The sequence below is a fragment of the Homo sapiens genome, chromosome 13 (assembly GCF_000001405.40).
Source record: "Homo sapiens chromosome 13, GRCh38.p14 Primary Assembly".
Lineage (NCBI taxonomy): Eukaryota > Metazoa > Chordata > Mammalia > Primates > Hominidae > Homo > Homo sapiens.
In genome coordinates this window covers 92,175,874-92,198,799 of record NC_000013.11, presented here as the reverse complement: position 1 = coordinate 92,198,799, position 22,926 = coordinate 92,175,874, and the positions used below count along the sequence as shown (strand labels likewise).

Genomic DNA, 22,926 nt, shown 5'->3' with positions numbered 1-22,926 from the left:
CTCTCCCCAAATTGTCAGAAATAATTTTTTTGGGGATCCTTTTATAGCTATAATTTACTTGCAAAGATTGTACGAATGCCCACTCTGAATCAGAAGTGAAAATGTATCAGGTCAATAAGTAATCTTCCCATTGGCTTCAAAGGCTAGACAGCTGGTGATTTCCTCTTGACATCAGTCTTGACGGGAGCAATGTGTCTACATCCTGACTTTACTCACTGCCAGTCTGCCTACATTTAATCCACATCAGTCCACATTAATCCACATTCATGATGGAAGCAAGAATAATATTTGAGCTAATTTGGTCATTCAAATATCTGAACTATAAGTCATCAATTTGGACTTTAGAATGCTGTGGGGAAATCATCATTCATTAAGAAAGAAGTATTATTAATTAATAAGGAGCATATCTATGATCTGTCAATGAGGTATCAACCAACCTATCAACAGAAGAAATTTTTATTGGACATCTCTTAGTAACAGGCTCCATCCTAGGTTAAAGGATATAGAGGAATGTAGCACCAGTAAGGATGCTGTTCTCATGAAGGTAGCATTTTAGTGTGGAGAGACATATCATATACAAATAGGTAATATATAGACAAACATGTAACAAGACATTTTTAGATTGGGATAATTTCTCTGATGTAAAATAATAGGATGCTATGATATTGGGGGATGGCTGAATTATTCAGATAAAGTCAGAAATGATTCCTCAGAGAAGGTGATATTTGACTTTAGACTGAGAAGATAAGAAGCCTCAGGTCCAGAGTCAGGCACATGAATTCCAGGAATAGGAAAATAACAAGTGCAAGGACTTTGAGGCAAGGATTTTTTTGGCATGTTGGGAATCAAAAGAAGGCCCACATGGCTGCAATGTACTACTGTTGGCATGCAATGACTCAGAGTGGTAGAGGTGGAAGTAGGGTATCATACGGAGTTGTTTGGGAAGCAGTAAGACATCTGGATTTTATCTTAAGACATATGGGGTGCCTGGCTCGGTGACTCATGCCTGTAATCCTAGGACTTTGGGAGGCTGAGGCAGGTGGATCGCTTAAGCCCAGGAGTTCGAGACCAGTCTGGGAAACATGGCAAAGCCCCATCTCTAGCAAAAATACAAAAATACAAAAAAAAAAAAAAATTAGCCAGATGTGATGGCGATGCCCTAAAGTTCAGGCTACTTGGGAGGAAGAGATGGGAGGATCTCTTGAGCCTTGGGGGTTGAGGCTGCCATGAGCTGAGGTTGTACCACCACACTCCATCCTGGGAGAAAAAGCGAGACCCTGTCTCAAACAAACCCCAATAGGAAAAAATATATGTGGTTTGCCCTTCAAGTGATTTGAGCAAAGATTTAATCTTTGTATATAAATCATATTTTCCAGCTTCCCTTTTACTTCCTGATATCTAGATCTACCTACAGCGATCAATATAGTTATAAAGATATAGATAGGTATAGACGTTCTATAGATATAGACGGATGTAGATACACTTATTTATGTCAATATTATTTATATCTGTATCTATCATATATCCCTCTATATGAAGTCTGTAAGAAAATTTATGGTCTGGGGGTTTTTATCTTATTATTTTTTTTTCACATCCTTGGAACCTCAGAGAAGGGAAATTGTGAGTGAAGGGAAGAAGAAACTTCCAAAGGGTATTAGGAATACCCTTTAAAAGGGAGGTGCTTGAATGAGCTCTTCGCAGGAGCGGAGACTTTGTTAGAGTTGCTATCCCCCACTGCTGTCTGTGGTGCGACTCACTTCCCTCATCTTCAGAGTTCACTCGCTTTTGTTGCACGATTCATATTGTTTCCAGTGTACCGTTTTCGGTATCTTAACATTTCCTGTATAGCAGGCCTACCCAAATAAATATTATTTTAACTTAGGAGCATGTCATTCAGGATAAAATATTTTACACTCTCTGAAGATAGAAACGGGAGTGTACCACTTTCACCCACTGCTTTCTGTGCCTAGAAACCATCTGCTTCTGTCTGCGCCTGTTTATCAGTAAGATGAGCTGCTGTTGATATTGAAAGCTCTCCCAGTTACCCTGCGTCTGACATGGATACGAAGAGAAAAGGGCAGAGTTACAGCTTTTGATGTTGGCATGTTAGAAAGCAGAAAACAGAATAGCTGAGCAGCTAGAGAAATGTTGCCTTTGGATTGTGAACAGAGGGGCCATAGGAAAAGTTTTACAAACAAAAGTGAAATTTCTCTGAGACTTCATGACTAAAATTTTTAGTGGGGCCAGTTAGATTATAATAAAGCTTTCATTTGACAGTAATTATATTCTAGGGCTGTAATTATATTTTAGGGCTGATTAAATATAGAACAATAAAAAGCTAATGAAACCTAGACTTTTCCCTCTTAAAAAACCATTTCAATTAAAATTTAAAATAGATATTAAATATATGTATTAAGTGCCTTTGTACATAGAAATCTTTATTTCTATTCATATTCCTGTGTAAGAAGTACATACCTTTAAAATAAAACATAATCTGTCTAATTAAATCTTATAAAATATCAGGTGCTATCAGCATAAATGGCTGTAAAATTGATATTAATTTTTCAAAGTTTTCAAACTATTTTATATAGATACTTAGTACTTCATTGTTAGCATATCATGTAGCATTACTTTTTTTTCAAGGGGATACATCTTTTTTCCCAATAAATATTACACATAGAAATGTAAATTTTGAAGATAATATTAATGAAAAGCAAAATTAACTTTAATTAGTTTTCCGCTGTGCTTCCACTTTGCCCTGAGCGCCTGCCTCAACTGGCTCTCTTTCAGACCCTGAAAGTCTTGGCAGTTCCATGCCAAAGGGCCTGCGCCTCCTTGTTAAAAGTGCTACACTCTCCTTAAACCCCTATTCACTCTTCAGGTCACTCTCAGAGCCCCCTTCTGAGTCCTGGTACACAGTGAGCACATAAGTATATGCTGAGTAGATGAATGGGTAGATCAGTGAAAACCCGGGATAAAGTTAATGACAAATGAACCTAAGTAATTAAAGGCTATAATGATTTTTATTAAGTATATAAATAACTTATTCTAAATGAAGTATCATTTGAGTTTATTACAGTCACTGTTCATCAAAACTGACCTTGCCAGATATTTCGTGTTTGCCATGTGCCCTGTCATCTAGCTTCAGTTATGATTCTAAATCAGTGGTTTATTCTTGTGTCCTTAACTTCACCATGGCTACTGACCCATTTACATACGTGGTGTCAGTAGAAGCATATGAGTGGGAATGCAGTGTAGTTATGAAAAGCAGTTGATTTGGCCTCCAAAAAAATTTGGGTTTGAATCTGAGATTCAAATACTTGCCATACAGTAAGATCAATATACTGGTAATTTATTTGGAGCCAATACGCTCCTAACTCAAGGGGTTATTTTAAAGGTTAAATTAAATAATGACTATAAACCTAATAAAGATGACACACTTTGCACGGAGCTTGGCTTAATTCTTTTTTACTCCTCTTTTGTAAATTTATAATACCAGACGCTGATTAGGCCCTGTCTTGTTTAGTTTTAGGCACTGCACATATGTATCACTGAATTAAAAAGAACAACCACCACCACCGTTTTTTGGCTGTCTCTAGATTAGAGATCAAAACTATTTTATTGTATGAGAAAATGCATAGAGCTTAATATTGAATATTATAATGTTGATTTATCTTGAAGGGCCATGCAGTCTTAGTGGCTTGATTTTCAGATTCATTGTCAATTCTTATCGTTGGTTTCAATTTATGCCTTTCTAAAATATCTGTAATGTAATACAAACTCCACAAATCTACAGCAGAGATCTTTGACTGCTAATGCTTCTCTGATTTAAGGTTTAGAATTTCCAATGATAATTACCATAAAATAACCTTATTTTTTCCTGATAAAAGAAGTCTTTGAATTTGTGCTGTTAGCCATTCAATCATGACCCTAAAATCACTTTCCTTCTCACTCTACCTTAGATTACAAGGAAAGGCCTGAAAGACCATGTTGTTGGAGAAAGACCATTGGAAGTGAAATCTGATGGGGAGGCTAATACTAGGTCAGAAAGAGCCTAATATACACCCCCTGCTCATTCCTTTTACATTTCAGTTTTATTTTTCCTAGTCTACTCTCTGATGCATTTGAGAATACCTGCAGGCTGCAGCAAACTGAAACTGATTTCCAAATTCACAGAACACACTTACCTAGCTATGGCCATTATGTAATTTCTGAATGAGGATACTATTTTTCAGTGAGGAAATATGCAAAAGTATTATAAGACAGGTTTGTGGCAGTGAATGAACCTTGAACTTATAATCATGGCATCTCTGTAGCCTAGCACCTTTCAAAATTGCTCAGACAGGAGACTTGTTTTAACTGTTTTCTTTCTCATCTGCAAATAATGGATCCTAATATCTAGTCCACAGTGACGGTATTAGGATCAAGTGTGTTTTTATGAGGGAGAGCCTATGGCATGCATCACACACCTTCTGAACATTGTCATGTCCTGAGTGTTGCTCTGGAGTCGGAGGTACTCACTATTTGCATCCCAAGCACACAGGATGAACTGTGTGAATTCAGGCAAGGTGCTTAAACTCTCTGATCATCACCTTGTGTTTTGTTTTAGTTGTAAAATGAGGATAATAATCTGTACTTCATAAGGTTGTTATGAGAGTAAATTGCCATAAAGAAGTAATAGTACTTAAATGGACTCCATAAACTATGATAATTTCCATTATTCTTCCTCCCTTCTTTCCTTTCATTCGTATAACAAAGATGTATTAAGTTACTGTTGAGTTTCTGCTATTGGCCAGGCACTGAGTTCACCATGGTACTAAACACTGCAGATTCAAAAAGAATATTATTTCTCTTCCCCTTAAAATGTATATAGTTGGATAAGAAGAAATAAATAAGTAAAAATATAGCAGTACGTAATTACCTGTGCAACAAAAAGCTGTATGGAGTATAATGGGAACAAAGAATGGAGTGGTTAATCTTCTTGGCCAATAAAAGCCTCTTGAAAGAGAATGTAGTGTACATGTAATTTAATTAAGGAAGTATCAGAAAGGATGCAGGACTTCTGGGGCAGAGCCGAATGGGTGTAGCCACTTAGATCCTGCCCAAAGAGTGTCAACAATTCCTTAGCACACCAGTAGGAGTGAATATAACTGTCGGATTAATTTGTTTACAATGATAGGAAAATGGTTTAAGTTTACATTTCAGAGTTGAACTATAATCATTCTTAAGAGGTAGTTTTATCATTTTAATCAAATCTGGAGTTAAATAATTCTCTCTTGTCCATTATCCAATATAGGATTCTCTCATCTATTATCCAATATAGGAAACTCTCTGGGAATTCTCCTTTCCTGTTAGTTACATACACAAAATAAAGTGAATACTGTTACTCTTTCACAGTACTGGAGATATGGAGTTCAGAATTTGTATTGTTTCATAATATAAATGCAAATATGTATGCTATTTGATTCCATTTTGAGTTATGAACCAGTAAACTCTGCTTTTTTTATTGGAAAAAGAAAATATTTTATTTCAATGTAAAATTTTGTAGGCAGAAATTGAATTAATAATATTCTTGAAATTTCTACCTGAGCATAATATGCAATATATTTTTTATTATTTTTTTTTGAGACAGAGTCTCGCTCTGTCGCCCAGGCTGGAGTGCAGTGGCGCCATCTCGGCTCACTGCAACCTCCAGCATCCTGGTTTAAGCAATTCTCCTGCTTCAGCCTCCTGAGTAGCTGGGATTACAGGCACTCGCCAACACACCCAGCTAATTTTTGTATTTTTAGTAGAGATGGGATTTCACTATGTTGGCCAGGCTGGTCTCAAACTCCTGACCTTGTGATCCGCCCGCCTTGACCTCCCAAAGTGCTGGAATTATAGGCATGAGCCACAGCGCCTGGCAGCAATATGTTTTTAATAAATTCTCAGTAAATTTTTTTCAAATTATTTCAAATTTTAAAAAAAGTAATAATGAAAAATATGTGTATTTGTCATGCAAACATAATGGTATTAAACTTATTTGCTGTAAAGTATGTTCTACATTTCAGTAATCTGCAATCCCATACGTGGGCATAGACATAAAATTAATCTAAAATGAAAGCTTTTTAAATTATTCCCTTGTCAGCTAAAATTAATAAACACTGTTCTCTCCAATAGACATCTAATTTCATAATTACCAAATGCTTCAACTAAACAATACTTTTTTTCTCCACATTTAGAATTAAAAATAAACTCATATTGCTTTTTATAATTTTAAGACAATTTAGAAGAAAGAAATGTGAAAAAAGGAATGATCATTGTTATCACGCATTTATTTTTACTTACTAAACCTAGTCCATAAAATGTTGGATAATTTCCTTGAAAAATGAGCTCCATATGTATATATTAATTAATAAACTTTTAGAGCAGTTATATGTTCACAACAAAATTGAATGGAAAGTACAGAGTTCCTATATACTCCCAACCCCACTCGCACACCTTCCCCATTTATCAGTTTCCCCTGCGAGAGTGGTATATTTGTTTTAATAAATGAACCAACATTGACACATCATTATCATCCAAAGTATCAATTGACATTAGGGTTTGCTCTTGGTATTGTACGTTCTCTGAGTTTTGACAAATGTATAATAACAAGTATCAACCACTGTAGCTTCATACAGAATAGCTTCACCACCTTAAAAATTATTTGTCCTCTATCTATTCACCCCCTTCACCTCCTAACCCTTAGCAACGACTAATTTTTTCACTGTCACCATAATTTTTCCTTTTCCAGAATATTATATACAGACAGTCCCTAATTTACAATGGTTTGATTTGTAATTTCTTGATTTTACTGTGGTGCAGGAGCAATACACCTTCATTATGTTCTGTGACTTACAACGGGGTTGTGTCTGGATAAACCTACTGTAAATTAAAAATATCCTGAGTCAAAAATACACTTTCAACCTACAATATTTACAATTTACAATGAGCGTGCAATCCCATTTGGAAGCTGAGGAGCATTTTTAGTTAGAATTACAGAGTCTTGAGCCTTTCCAGACTGGCTTCATTCTTTTAGTAAGAGCATTTAATATTCCCCCATGTCTTCTCATAACTTGATAGCTTACTTCTTACAAGTACTGAATTATATTCCATTGTCTAGATATACCGCAGTTAATTCATTCACTTACAAAATGGCAACTTGGTTGCTTCCAACTTTTGTCAATTATTAATAAAGCTGCTGTAAAGATCCATGTACTGCTTTCTATATGGATATAAGTTTTTAATTCATTTGGGTAGTGCAATTGATGGAACATATGGTAAGAGTATGTTTAATTTTCTAAGAAACTGACAAACTCTCTTTCAAAGTGGTTGTAGCATTTTACATTCCCGTCAGCAATTATTGAGAGTTCCAGCTGCTCCACATTCTCACCAGCATTTGGTGGTGTCAGTGTTGTGAATTTTGGCCATTTTTATAGATGAGTAATGATATCTCATTTTTTAAAATTTGTAATTTCTTAAGACATATGATGTTGAACATGTTTTTATATTCTTATATGCCACCTGTATATCTTAATGGTGGGATGTCTATCAGCCTTTGCCTGACGTATTTTGACACTTTGTTATTAGGTACATACACATGAAGGATTGCTATATCTTCTTGGAGTATTGACCCTTTATCACTATATAATGCCCCTTTTTTATCTCCAGTAACTTTCCTGTCTGAAGCTCACTCTGTCTGAAATTAACATAGCTAGTCTCAGTTACTCTTGATTATGTTCATGGTATATCTTTTGCCATCCTTTTGCTTTAATCTACATGTGTTTTTATATTTTAAAGTGGGTATTTTATAGACAACATATAGGTAGGTCTTGATTTTTCATCTATTCTTACAATCTCTGTCTTTTAATTGGTATATTTAGAACTTTCAGGTTTAAGGTGATTATTGATACAGTTGGAGTAAAACCTACCGTATTTGTTATAATTTTCTATCTGATGCCCTTGTTCTTTGTTGTTTTTCTTCTACCTTCTGCCTTTTGTGGTTTTAATTGAGCATATGATTTCATTTTCTCTCCTGTCTTAGCTTATCGATTATACTTTTTCATTTTTTAGTTTTTAAAATGGTTTTCATAGAGTTTGCAATATACATTTTAAATGAATCCAAATACACTTTCAAATAACACTGTATCACTTCACAAGCAGTGCAATTACTTTATAACAAAATCTTCCTAATTCCTTCCTCCTATCTCTTGTATCATTATCATTCGTTTCACTTATGTATAAGCATACATATGCATATATAATGCATAAGTATATGGAATCCAAAATATTGTTGCTACTATTATAGTGAAGAAATTATGTATTACTGCAACGAAGAAAAATAACTTTTTCAAATTTTACTTTGATTTATTAATTTTCTGATGTTCTTCCTTTCTCTATGTAGATATGATTTTAGGACCTATATAATTTTTTCTTCTCTCTGAAGCACTTAAGATTTTTTGCAAGGCAGTTCCACTGGCAACAAATTCTCTAAAATTCTGTTTGTCTAAGAAAGTGTTTCTTCTTTACTTTTGAAGGATTATTTCATAGAGTAGAGAATTCTCCATTGGTGGTTTTTTTTCTCTCTCAACACTTTGAATATTTTATTCCACTTTCTTCTTGCTAGCATGGTTTCTGAGGAGAAGTCAGATGTAATTCTTATTTTTGCTTTTTTATAAGCTTCTTTCAAGATTTTTCATCTTTGATTTTCTCCAGCTTGTACATAATCTGCCTAGGGGTAGTTTTTTAAGCAGTTGTTCTGGCTGGTGTTCTCTGAGCTTCGTGGATCTGTGAATTGGTGTCTGACATGAATTTGGGAAAATTGTCAGTCATTATTTCTCCCAATGTTACTTCTGTTCCTTTCCTTCTTTTGCTTTTCAGTTTTGGAAGTGTCTGTTGCGAAATCTTCAAGCTCATAGATTCTTTTCTCAGTTCTTTCCTGTATACTAATGAGCCCATTGAAAAGCATTATTCATTTATTTGACAGCACTTTCTTTAATCTTTCCTGGAATTTCTACCTCTCTGGTTACATTATCCATCTGTTCTTGTATTTCCATTAAAGCTCTTAGCATATTAATCATAGCTTTAAAAAAAAAATGCCTGGCCCAATAATTCCAAAACCCTGCCATATCTGACTCTGATTCTCATACTCGTTCAGTCTCTTGAAACTTTTGTGTGTGTGTGTGTGTGCACGTGTATGGAAAGGCAGACACGATGTAAAAGAAACTGAAGTAAACAGGCCTTCAGTAATGTAGTGGCATGCTGGAGGGGGAACAGAATTGTTCTACAGTCTAATATTTAGGGTCAGTCTTTTAGTGAGCCTGAACTTCTGGACTCTGAACTTCACAAGTCATTCTCATTGTCCCCAACTAAGGTGGGGACAGAACGGCTGGAGGTGGCTGGAGTTGCATAGTTCCCTTGCCCCACTTGGGAGACTAGAGTTGGCTAGAGTTGGGTATTTCCCTCCCTCCAGGTAGGTTTGGCTGTTAATGAAATCCCAAAAGATTGGGTCTGGTAAAATAGTTTCTCCTGAGGATGGGCCAAGTTAAGAGGAACAGAAAGTTCTGACATATTTTTAAATGGTTCCTTTTCTCCCCTTCCTGCTGGAAACATAAAGGGATTTTTCTCAGATAGTCACCGTGGGGACCTAGTAAAGCTCCTGAAGGTAAAATTCACAAGTGTGATGCCCCTTCTATGACTAGGTGCCCCTGGAGTTTTCAGCCTCCAGCAATGCATCAATTATCCATCAGGTTATCCTCCCCCTACACCAGTTCCTGTTGTGCTTTCAGCAAGTGAGTTTCTGCTTTAGTAAGTTGTGATGTTTTGTACCTGCCTGTCTCTCCAAGTTTTAGGGCAGTGATTGCCTCGTGACCTCACTGCTCTAACAGAGCTAAGAAGGACTGTTGGCTTTTCTGTTGTTTAGCTTTTCACCTGCTGTCGGGTGGCATGGTGATGTGCAAATTTCTTAGATGCTGAACCAGAAAGTGGAAGGCCACCAAATATGTCAACTAAGCAATTCTTTTTCCTCCATGTTCAAAATAAAAATTAAACATATTGCTGAATTTTTATTTATTTTATGATAATTAGGAAAAAGAAATGTGAAAAACCCTGTTATATATAACTGTTATGCAGCAATTATATTTACTTATTAAATCTATTCAATTAAATGTGGAATGATTCATTTAAACAATGAGCATCATAGGTATTTTTATCTGGTCTTACTTTTATTTCATACCATTATTGTCATGGATTTAGTGAATAGGAGTAAAACTATTTATTCAAAATCAAGGGTACAAAATAAATAAATACATAAAATAAAGGCATCTTCACTTTTTCTTATCCTTTCCCTTTACTTTCTCTCTTGTAAGATGCAATTTTTACTCCTGATTCTGACAATTAATTAATTGAGTGCTTGTGCTTTTAGTAACATGAATTTCTCCTATTGTATTTCTTAAAATATAATCAAGTTGAGCCCCTTTCATCTGTCAATAAGTCTTTTCACTGTCTCCTTTCTTTCCTCCTGCCATCAGCAAACAATACATTTGGAACTGCATGGAAGGCTATCTCAACTGTCTCAGGAATTTTTTTAAAAATCAGGTGTTTAAATATTACATATGCAACTAGTATTTTTAAAGAGCCCTGTTCTCTCGAAGGAGAGATTCCTGCAGTAATGATTGATTTATTTACTCCCATGAGACTGAGGTGGGACTAGGAGAGAGAAAAAAAAAGCCAAAGTAGGTACTGTCATATCACAACATAAATAAATGGGTTTCAGAATGAAATTAGTTACCCTAGTGGGATTTCTATGTTAAAAAATAAATAATAAAATGTCAGTGGCACAGTTTGTGGTTAGAAGGAGAACAGATCTTGAAGGGAGTAAAGAAAACTTTATTTCACATTTAGTCATACTGTTCTTTACATGAGTAATTAAGTCTGAGAATATTGTACTGAACAATGATGATAGAAATTAATAGATTCTAAATGAAGCATTTTCCTTTTATTCTCAACAGCTGTTCATTTTTACTTAGTATGCACATCTTTCCCCAATATGACAAAAGTAAAATTATTCTTTAGGAAATTAATCACATGTGTCTCATTATTTCAAATAAAATGTTCTAAAGCCCAGCTTCTTTCTAGATTGTTGAATAATCTCTTCACAGCACCCACCTCAGAATGACAGTGAGGGGTGCAGTGCCACCTTCTGGTAAAGAGAGGAATTGCTTTTTATTGTGCAAAGAATTACCTTGAACATTGGAATCCAGTATGGAAATACAGGGTAACTAAAAGGGTATTTTTAAGCATTGACTTCATTCACCCTATCATATGGCATGACGTGTTGAAATTGAGTCCATTGAGACCATAGTTTGATTTAAAATTGCAGCATTTTTGAGTCCTCTCAAGGGGAAGCAAGCACTCTATCAAGTCAACATGCCTTAACAATTTCATATGTTAAAAGATAGCAAATGAATAATTTGTTTTAGAAAATGTACTAGGGAAGGAATATACCTTTCAAGAGTCCAACAAACTTAAGAACCTACTGCAATCCATTCTTAAAGTGGATGTACTAACTTATTTTGGAGGCTGACTTATGCGTGTAAATACAGGTTACATTGAGGGTTTTCATACATGCTGAGTGAACAGTTTCAGAAGTAATTTTTTTTTTTTTTGAGATGGAGTTTTGCTCTTGTCACCCAGGCTGAAGTGCAATGGCGCAATCTCAGCTCACTGCAACCTCCACCTCCAGGGTTCAAGCGATCCTCCTACCTCAGCCTCCTGAGCAGCTGGAATTACAGGTGTGCACTAACACGCCCGGCTAATTTTTGTATTTTCAGTAGAGACGGGGTTTTGCCATGTTGGCCGGGCTAGTCTCAAACTCCTAACCCCATGTGATCCTCCCACTTCGGCCTCCCAAAGTGCTGGGATTACAGGCATGAGCGGAAGTAAATTTTTAGGTAATGTGGGCATAATGATCTTCCACTGAAACATACTTGTATATGCATTTCTTCATCTGATCGTCATGCCAAACAATGAGACACTGTATTACACATGAGTGGATTGAAGCCAAAGTGGGCAAGTCACCAATCCTTGACGATGCAGTCAGTAGTGAGTTAGAATCAAATCCAGTATTCTAATTCAAATTTTGAGTTTTTCTGGAAAATACTTCTCATTTAATTCCCTGAATATCTTAATGTTTTTGCCGATGAGAGTAAATATATTTTAAAACCTTACTAAGCATTTGTGTTTAATTCCCCATGCCAAAATATCCAATACTAGTTAATATATTTTATTATAGAAACCTATTTATTATATAATGTACATTCTGGCCAAAATTTACTCATTATATATATTAGAAAAAACAAATATTATATTACACATATATGATTGCTAATTAAGATTTCCCTTGCAGTCTCTGGAAATTATACTATATCCAATGATAATTATGATACATTTTCAAATTTTCAAATCTTATTAAGGTTCTTTTCCAAATTTCAAAGCTGAAATGCCCAAAAGATGAAAACCTATATTAAGGATCTACATTTACAACTTATTTGTTAAAAATTATTAAAAATTATATATCTATAAAATATTCAGAAGATAATGTCTACCAGAATGCTTTTGTTAAAAGATCAATGTTCTGCTTGCATCACTTTGAGCAGCAACTCTGTTAGGATCTGTGGTCTTGAAATATAACTGCCTCTGAGTTCCCTATTTTTGCAGCAAACTTTTCATAATATCTGATTTTATACTTACATTTAACTTTAAATTAATATTTCATTACTGCTCAAAGCTGTTATTACATTTTATCTTTGAATATTTCCCATTAATTGACTCACTCTTAGCATTCAGTATCTGTATATTTTTTATCTGGAGAATATCAAGCTGTAAAATGAAAACAATGATGCTTGCTTTATCTATTCTTTCCCAGAGTTCACTGAGAACCTAATAGTTATTGAATACTATCAATATTATCATTTACATGGGAATCAATCAACATATTCTAATTTGGTTGCAACACAGGGTCATAAGCTAATTGACAATGATGTAGAACAATTTTTCAATCTCAAAATGTAGGGTTAAGTTGAAGATACACTATTTTATGTTTTGTTTTATTTACTCTTAGCTGGAGTTAAATTTATATTATTAAAACCAAATCATAAGATTATTTTCTGGTTCTGTGAGCTCAAATAGGTCTGGAGAGCCTCAGCTCTGTGAAGTTGAAAAAAAAAATTCATTTCTTCTTATTGTGGTGAAAAGGAGTCATTTATTTTTGAAAATGCTCTAAAGTATGACTTTAATGAGAGTAAAATAATCAGTTAGTTTACTTCTCTGGAGAACTGAGGCATTGCCCATAGTGGATCATAACTCAAGAAACTACATCTTAGTAAGTTTAAGAGAATTCATATTAATATTTTGAGCTGGAGATCAGGTAAGTGATATCTATGTCCATACTAGCATGAAGATCAAAATTATTGTATTTTCACTTTTATACAAATTACTAACTTAAAAGGAAGAATTCCCACAGACTTGCTAAGGAGAAAACAGAATAAAAAACTGTGTGTTATGCCACTAGTTCTGACTAACTGAAGCTGATAAAGGTCCCAGGATATTGAATGACCCTGGCACATCAGACTTTTACTGGAGCAAGCTGAAGACTGATTCTTGAACAATAAACAATGGGACTCAGTGCATCTAACTGTGTACAAACCTATGGGCTCATTCTGTCCTATTGCAGGTGCTACTGTCCAGTACTTACTTAATTTGCAAAATTGACATGAAATTCTCCTTTCTAGCATTTAAAAATCCTGTTGTTTTTACCTTTTCAGCAAATTACTTAGTGAATTTCTTCACTGTTGTGTGTTTGCCCAACCCTGGCACATTACTAGACATGGCTTTGTAAATTTCTTTGTTTAGTTTTGGTGGTCTTTGAATACCTTAATTATGTATGCAGTTTCATATTAATTACCAGAAAAAGAATAAAGATATAGAGTTTCAGAATGAGTAGATACCTTAAAAATGATACACTCATATAATATGGTAGACTAAGGTGATCTAAACTTTCTCTCATTACACACACTTAGATAGGCTGAATTAAAATAAAACAAAAAATATTTTAAAGGCATAGCTAAATTTTCAACAAAAAAGTATCTTCAGGTTTCCTAACAGAATTAAATCCAGAACAACCAATGTTTAATCTTTCACTGGGGATTCCTAGGTAGTGAAGAGATGATTGGAAGGTTGCTCTTAGTTATTTAAGGAGACAATTTTGACACAAAGACAGAAGCTAAAAGCTTGGGCCTCAGGAGAAGTAGGAAGTGGGGAAGGGAGAGGGGGCTACTCCCTAAAGCTGAGACCCTCAGAGAGCTGCCTATTCAAAGATATATCCAATGGCTAAAGTTCTAAAGAACTCTAGTAATAGAAATAAATTTTTTTGTGTGCTCTCCTGACTCTGGAGAAGATTTTTAAAATAGATTTTGAAGGAGGTTAGGTCTTCAACTAGAGCAGTTTGATATTCAAATTTATACTCTGTGTATATATAATTAATGAGAGATTTCTTATGGAGTTTTAGAACAAGCTAACATGATCATTATATGGTATCTCATACTGGAAGCCTCCTCAAAAGAAAAAAGAAAAAGCCAAACCAAAGATGAATTTGCAGTATAAATAATACACCATAAGCAAAAGACAGCACATAAAATAAAGGGCAGGATTAGAGCCATATGAATTTGAGATAATTATATGGTAATCTAGCAGACAATATAAAATTATAATAATTAAGATGACACTTCAATAACTTTTTTAAAAATATGATATAATTTAAATTAATAGTATCAGTGGTTGGATTAAAATACCCTATTAGATAAGATCAAAGAGAAAATTGGTAAACTAAATGATATTTATTAAGAGATTACCCAGAATGCATCATGTTATTTAAAAAGATGACAATCTTATTGACTAAAGTTGTAAGAGATCTATGAACAAATCTCACCAAAATATGCACCTAAAATTCATAAAAAGCATCATAAAACTTGATTTAAAAACCACAAAATTAGACCTAAGTTGAGAAATATACCATATTTACATTTGACAGAATTACTATTATAAATATGGTATGATTCCTTAACTAATCTATACATTTATTGCAACCAAAATAAAAATTCTAGCAGTTTTTCCAAGGGTTTTTAATCTTAAAATTTATATATAAGTGACTCAAAATTGCTAACTATATTTTAATTGTTATTTTAAAACATTTTAGTAATTAAATCAGGATTGAATTGGTACATGGTTAAATGGTTAATGAATGACACACTTATGCAGGACTGGATATATAATAAATGCAACACTGTAAGTATGAAAGAAAATAGTGGATTAATAAATGGTGCTGCTACCATATGTATCTACATAAAAAAAAGAAAAAAAGCAGCTGACCTCACCCACCTATCCCAACCTCAGCCTTCCATGGTTGGGTCAAGCTCATGTTGACAGAGGAAAAAGCTTATACTTCGTAAGAGCTTATTACCACACTGGCCAGGCATTCTTGGTTATTATACTGAACTAGAATTTTAATGCAAAAATAAAATACTGTTTATTATCTAAATATGTCTTGAAAGGCTATGTGGGAAAACATGTAATGGGGAATGGTGGGAAAGAATAAGGTTGCTATCTGCTTACACTACCAGTTCCACCCTGTTCAATAAACCAACTTTACCTCTATTAAAACTGGAATAAAAACAAAGTACATACTAGTATATATCATAAAACAAACATTAACACATTAGAGCCACGTTATGAACCTCTTCTGGAATACCCAGTAAACTGAGACTATAGTTTCTTCTGCCACCTTTGTTTCAACGTCCTTGATGTATCAAGGGTAGGTGTTAAAATGTTTACTTTTTTTTTTTTTTCTTTTTTTGAGACGGAGTCTCGCTCTGTTGCCCAGGCTGGAGTGCAGTGGCACGATCTCGGCTCACTGCAAGCTCTGCCTGCCGGGTTCACGCCATTCTCCCGCCTCAGCCTCCCTAGAAGCTGGGACTGCAGGCGCCCACCACCGCGCCCGGCTAATTTTTTTTTGTATTTGTAGTAGAGACGGTGTTTCACCGTGTTAGCCAGGATGGTCTCGATCTCCTGACCTCATGATCTGCCCACCTCGGCCTCCCATACTTATGGCGATCGGAATTTTCTTAACACTGAAACTCACCAAAATATGGTTTATGAATAAATTTTTGAAAAATTACTAAATAGAACTTTGGCATAACAATTTTACATTTTGTATCTACTTAAATTGACTCATTATACCCATCAGATGTCTTAATAAAGAAATATTAACATTTTGAATTTTGTAATTCAATTCACATTAACAAAACATTGAGTTATCAGTTTAAAAGTGGGGTTACTTGATCTTTGTTTGAAAAGTGGATTATATTTTGAACATTGTTTTTGAAGTCACAGATCGTTTTTTACTGATAAAGTCAGTTTTTCTGTTTGGCCAGATGTGGGCAGCTAGCTTCTGGGTGACATTTTTCAATGCCTTCAAAATTTGGATAGAATTGTTAAAATATAGCTGTAAGGGAGGAATAATCAGGGAGGTAAACCTCTTTCCAAATTAATCAAATAATATAATCCGAAACCATTAGCTCTGAATTTCTCTGTTCTTTTGGATTATTAATTCCCTGGCAAAAAAAATAAATAAATAAACAGAAAAAATTTGAAATGTTAAATGAATGGCTATTTTATTGAAGGAAAAGTTCTAGTTTCCCAACCCAGCTCTCAATACTCTCATCTTTAACAAACATAAACTTACCCTGACATCTTTTTTTCTGCCACTTGATTCCCAATGCAAACCTACTCAACATTGAGCCTCCTTATTATCTATCCTTTAAATCTTCTGTTCAAGTTCTTATTACAATTGCATAATGTAGGACAGCATCTTTCCATTTTAATTTAATCCATTGACTGGATAAGGCCCACCTCAAACTCTTTTTCACCATTTTGCTTTCTTCTGCATTTTCATTGCATGATTTCCCATTTTAGAGAAACAATGGGATACAATACACAAACATCAAACTGAGATGTCAGGAAATCTGAGCTCTCATTTCTAGTAGGTTATGTATCTGTTTTGCTTTCTTTGTTCAGTTGCTTTTAGGGCTTTACTTTAAAAAATCTTCTAACTTTAAATCCTAATAATACACATTATCATTTACACAATCCACATGTGCACATTTAAAATATTAAAACTTAACAATATCACCCCAGCAAAATTGTACTATCTGAAGATTTTTAAAACATTACATAGCACTTAGCATGATATATAGCAATGATTCATGTATTCAAAGCATTAATTATCTAGCATACCAAGAGGGAAATTTTATTTATTTTTTGTTTGCTTGATTTTATTCATTCATTAGTCAGATTTTCCCCAAACACAAACTACATTCTGAGAATAAATTAAAAGTGATAGTACCTTGTTTGGGTTTACTTTAATTTAGTAGCAAGAAATTATATGTTGTGGATCTTCTTGTCTGAGCTCATCTCCATGATATCATGTGAGTAGTTTTAATTTTTTTTTCTCCTTCTAGTCAGGACTTATTGAAGAAAACTTTAAAGACTAGCTATTGTGGACTATCAGGAAAGAGAAGTAGCCCACAACCAGGCTGGCTATAGCTATTGTGGACTATCAGGAAAGAGTAGTAGCTCACAACCAGGCAGGCTTGGCAAGTGGGGATTAATTGATTTTTGTTTGTTTGTTTGTTTGTTTTGGCAACTGGTGTGTAGAAAGGTGATAAGTTTAATAAGACAATTCATATACAATTTTAGTAGCTGAAGGTGTATTTTACACGCACCTTTTTCTCATTTAAAAGCACTATCTACTCACTGTAGACAATTAGAAAGTAGTGATAGGACAATGAAAATCACCTGTAACCATTTTACAGCTGGTGCAGAGGTTCAGCATCAGGATTGGGATGGGAAGGAAAGAAAATTAACAAGAAAATTGAAAGATGGGAAATTAGTGGTGAACGGTGTCATGAACAGTGTCAGCTGTACTTGTAGCTATGAAAAAGTAGAATAAAAATTCCATCATCACTTTGGATAGGAATTAGCTAGGAGAATGAACAAGCTCAGTTGAATGAGAAAATCTCCATACGGCTGCTTTTTTTCTTTTCATTACTGTGTTCAGTGATCTTTATCACAAACATTTTACATGCAGCTATTTCAAAGTGTTGGATTAATTAGGATCATCCCTTTGGTTAATGAATAAATGTGTTTGTACTAATAAAAAAAATCACCCATAACCATAATACTTAAAGGTGACCACTGTTGACATTTGGAGAATTTACTTCTGCTCTTTATTTCCACAAATACATACACATTCACAAAGAGAAAATCCAGCTTAAATTGTTGTTGTGATATCTTATTTCCAATTTTCTTTTGTTTTATTGGATATTATTTTCCCATTTGTTAAAATGCAGCTTTAAAGATTATGGAATTTCTTGTGCAGAAACCCAACAATTGGAAATGAAATTAAAAAGCTAATTTAAACTGCAGCCTTAAACAAAAGGAATTTAGCCCTGTGGTATAAATCAGGTTAACTGTGGGGACTTTTCAACCAAACCTGCAGTTTTCATGCATAAGCTGGGTATCCTGGACCACCACATGGAGAAAAACTGCCAATTAAGAAGACCTGCCTTGAATGCTAAAAAATAAACATTTGAGCATATTTGTTATAGTAGTTTATTCCACCACAACTGAGAGATTAGTGGAATCCATTGTGCCTGTCTTGTGACTCAAACCGAAGTCCATAGTCTACATTGTTTGTCCACAGTAAAAACCGTAGTAAATCATATTCATAAAATTTTGTTTAAATTTAGGCTGATATCTTTCCCCATCTAAAGTTCAGTTAATTCACCTATACGTTTTCATTATCCTTTTATGATGTCAAATGTTATCTGTTTAATCTGTACAAATACTTTGCTTTAAAAAATTCAATCTTCCCATGTGCCAGAACAGAAAGTTCTATGATCATATAAATCATCAAAGTTTTAAAAGCATATAATGAAACTGAAAAAAGCCACTAGGCCCTGAATATTTTTCTTGTATGTTAGATTCGGCAATATAACATTATAGTATAAGTAATCTATCATTTAGCTAGAAGTAGCCTACGAAGATTATGAGCAAGTGCTATGCCTACTCATTGATGAGAGAATTCTAGGTGTTAAAAGATACACTGTGACCAAGTTATTAGTTCAATAGCATAGTGAGTTGTTACTTTGACAAACTCTTGTGGACAGAGAGACCACGACAAATTAGTTCAGTCAGAGCCTAGCTGTTGAACCTAACATGGTAACACAATTCATGAGTAAGCTCAGACTATGTAAATATCTTGAGAAAACAAAGTCATCAGAAACCCTTCCTTTTAGGCATCTGCACTTAGCTGTGTCATCTGTAAAAGAAAAAGAGGGCCATGCTCATCTGGAAATAGTTCCAGTTTGACAAGATTATAAACCAGGATATTATCCTTTATTTTTTTCCTTTTAATTGAAAATTTTTTTAGGTGGTGAGGAGTATGTAAGAGTTTTTGTTTTACCCCAGAGCTAATTTAGGATTCTTGGCCCAAAAATGTCAGTTCGTTTTTACTTAACTCCCAAAGAAACTATTAATTACTCATTGTGCAAGGAGAAAAAGATGCTAATGAACAAGTGTAGTCATTTGATGACAATACATTTCAGGTGTCATGAAGAATCCTAATAGTCTACGTTAGGATACTTTATTAAAAATACAATAAACTAGTTTATTTATTTATTCATTTATTTTTTGAGACAGGGTCCCGCTCTGTCACCCAGTCTGGAGTACAGAGGTGCAATCTTGGCTCACTGCAACCTCCACCTCCTGGGTTCAAGCGATTCTCCTGCTTCAGCCTCCTGAGTAGCTGGGACTACAGGGCCACCACACCTGGCTAATTTTTTGTATTTTTAGTAGAGACGGGGTTTCACCATGTTAACCAGGATGGTCTTGATCTCCTGACCTTGTGATCTGCCCACCTTGGCTTCCCAAAGTGCTGGGATTACAGGTGTGAGCCACCGTGCCCAGGCTAAACTAGTTTATTTTTAAAGAAAATGTTAAAATTCCTATGCTGGTAGCAGTTTGGACTCAAAAGATGCAAAATAGCATATATTAATGTAAGGAATTAGCAACTGTTGATATATAATATTAACACATTTTAAGGAGCTGGCATATAAATATATAATATACAAACACTATACAAAAATTTAATAATAGTATATATATAGTAACTTGAGGTTAATAGTATATATCAGAAATTACTATACTGCTGGTATATATGTATATATGTTATATATAAATATATATATTAAAATGATGGGCCACAAGTTGAAGGCACTAATAGGCAAATTAACCAAAGTGGCAAATACCTCCAGTTTTATATGCATTTTCAGTGGAATGGTATGAATGGCTCTTTAAATAAAGAAAACTCATATCCACATCTGCTGACATGCTTTTCAGGATTTTTGTTTGACTACTGCCAATTTGAATCCCTAGACTGGAATAAACGCAGAGCCATCTGTTCTGATGCGCCTGCTGTGACAGTACTAGGCTCACTGAAGCAATTGTTTCTATTACCCTTAGTATTCATGATAAGCTTCCCTTTGCGGCATCCCTTCGGAATAAATTGAGCCTAACTCGTATCAGGAATATAATTAGGTTAAGAGCTTGGTAAAACTTCCATGTGCCAGAATAGTTTCAGTCTTTCAGCTCCAAGCTTCCAGAAATGTTTATTGGTGGTTTGAACTTTTTATGCTATTCCCAGTAATCTTCCCCTTCATTAGCAAATGACTTCTGCAAGTAGAATACTGGGGCATCTTTAATTATATATAATGCCTGAACTGAAAGAAAATAGAAAAATAATGGTATATCGAAGCCAATTTTCGTTGAGCTTTGTTGTAATTAATTTAAACTAAATAGTACTGTGGATGCTATTCTGTCACTAGTCTTCTCAAGGTAGGAATGTTTAAAAGAGGAGGCTGAGTTTAGGCATGTTATTCAGTGTTGTCACATGAAGACCACAAAAAATATTTATCAGACAGAGCCTGTGAAATAAACACAATTTTGCTGACATAATACAGAAGCTTCTGGGATGCAAGAAATCATTTTAATCAGAGACTGTGCATATCTGATCTAGGTTATTCTGAAGAACACAAAAAACATACTAGTGGCTATTCTGTTATTAGAATATAAAAGAGCAAAAAAGAGCTTTATAAGGTTGAGATGTAAGTAATTTGTATAATTATAAAAATATAAAAATTATATGAAGGTACATATTTGAAATCATTGGAAAGATCAACTTTCCATCAAGATAGGTTAATCATTTGAAATAAGGAAAGTGAGATGGGATACGCTAACACACCTTTGAAAATATAATCCACATAATTTAAGGCATTGTCATTACATTAACAGTGAAGATGCAGAAGCCCAGCAGATATGATGAAAGTCAGACAAGGGGAAGATGCTCAGGTTGCCAGAGGCTAGACTGGCTTAAGGGGCTAGAAAACAACATGTTCTGATACAAGTTGAGATGCCGTGTAAAAGCCAGAAAGCTTGTGGTTTTCAGAAGCCAGGGGTCTGTAAGCCAAGAAGTTAACTGAGATGCAAAACAACAAGCTGGTGACAACAACGGGTATCCAAAATCCAAAAAGGCAGATCAATCAAAACAATGATGGAAATAAGGGTATCCAAAATCCAAAAAGATAGATCAGTCAAAACAATGACGGAAATAGCAAAAGATGGGAGGTCATGTCTGGCTTGTTTACAACTATAGCATAGTGGCAGGGTGAAGCAGTGCCTGTTATATCATTGGTAGTTAATGACTGATGAAGGGATAAATAGATGGAGAATTGAATTATCCAGCTGTAGATACAGTATGTAAAGAAGCAGTGTATACCTAGGTCTCCAGTAAAGGTAAAGTGGTGCCTGGTAGTGTGCTGGAAATCAGTAAACTAGGGGCTGAGAAGTGCTTGGATGTGGCCGTTGAGGTGAGGAACCACTGGGCCTAGCTCCAGGCACTCTGGAGGGAGGTTCAAAAATGGTGGGATTAGGAATCTGGGGAAGGTTGGAGGTCAGATGGAGAGAAACGGAAAGGGAGGTCTTAGAAATCTAAAAGCCATTGAGACAAAGGAAAATCAGAATCCAAAGCTTTGATGCCTTGGGTCAAACCCTTCATTTATTTTTTTTCAAATGAGCATTAGCTATTGGTTGTTAGAAGATGCAGACAGGTGCCCCTGGTCTGTTGTTGAGGTTGAACCTTATCTAACTTAGTGTGCTGTGTACCCAGTGGTTAGGAGCATAAATGCAAAGAAAACACAAACCACCACTTACTTCTCGTCCTTGTCCCAGTCTCAGTGCCTGGAGAGATGAATGTTGCAGTGTGACAGGAAGCTGTCTTGAGACACAAGGGCTACCTCATGAAAGGTATGTACTTTATCCAGGGAGAGCCTTAGCATACAACAGAACTCCTTAAGGTGTAGTCTCTGGATAAGCAGTGCCATCATCATCTGAGCATTTTTTGGTAATTCAGAGTCACCGGCTCCATCCTAGACTTACTGAATTAGAAATTCTGGGGTTGTGGACAGTAATTTGTATTTTCTAAAGTCCTTCACGATATATGGTGATTCTGATGCACATTAAAATTTGAGAACCACTGTCTTAGAGGAAAACAAACACTAGCAATGGGTAAGGAGCAAACTTCATGATAATGGTAAAGCATGTTTCTGGCTAGATATAGATAAATGGAAACAAACATACAGAGTCACCATTGAATCTGAAACCTAAAAAGTAGGAACAGAGCTTCCAGGATTCTGTATCTGAGATTCTTCTATATGAGGAGACAGGTTTGAAAAC

General features: G+C 34.9%; 1 protein-coding gene and 1 pseudogene across 2 annotated transcripts in view; one reads left to right on the top strand and one right to left on the bottom strand.

The window, feature by feature from the left end:
- GPC5 (glypican 5) overlaps positions 1-22,926 on the bottom strand; it is a 1,468,617-nt gene that overhangs the window by 668,438 nt on the left and 777,253 nt on the right. The gene's annotated exons all lie outside the window — the stretch shown is intronic.
- FABP5P4 (fatty acid binding protein 5 pseudogene 4) lies at positions 17,911-18,289 on the top strand (annotated as a pseudogene).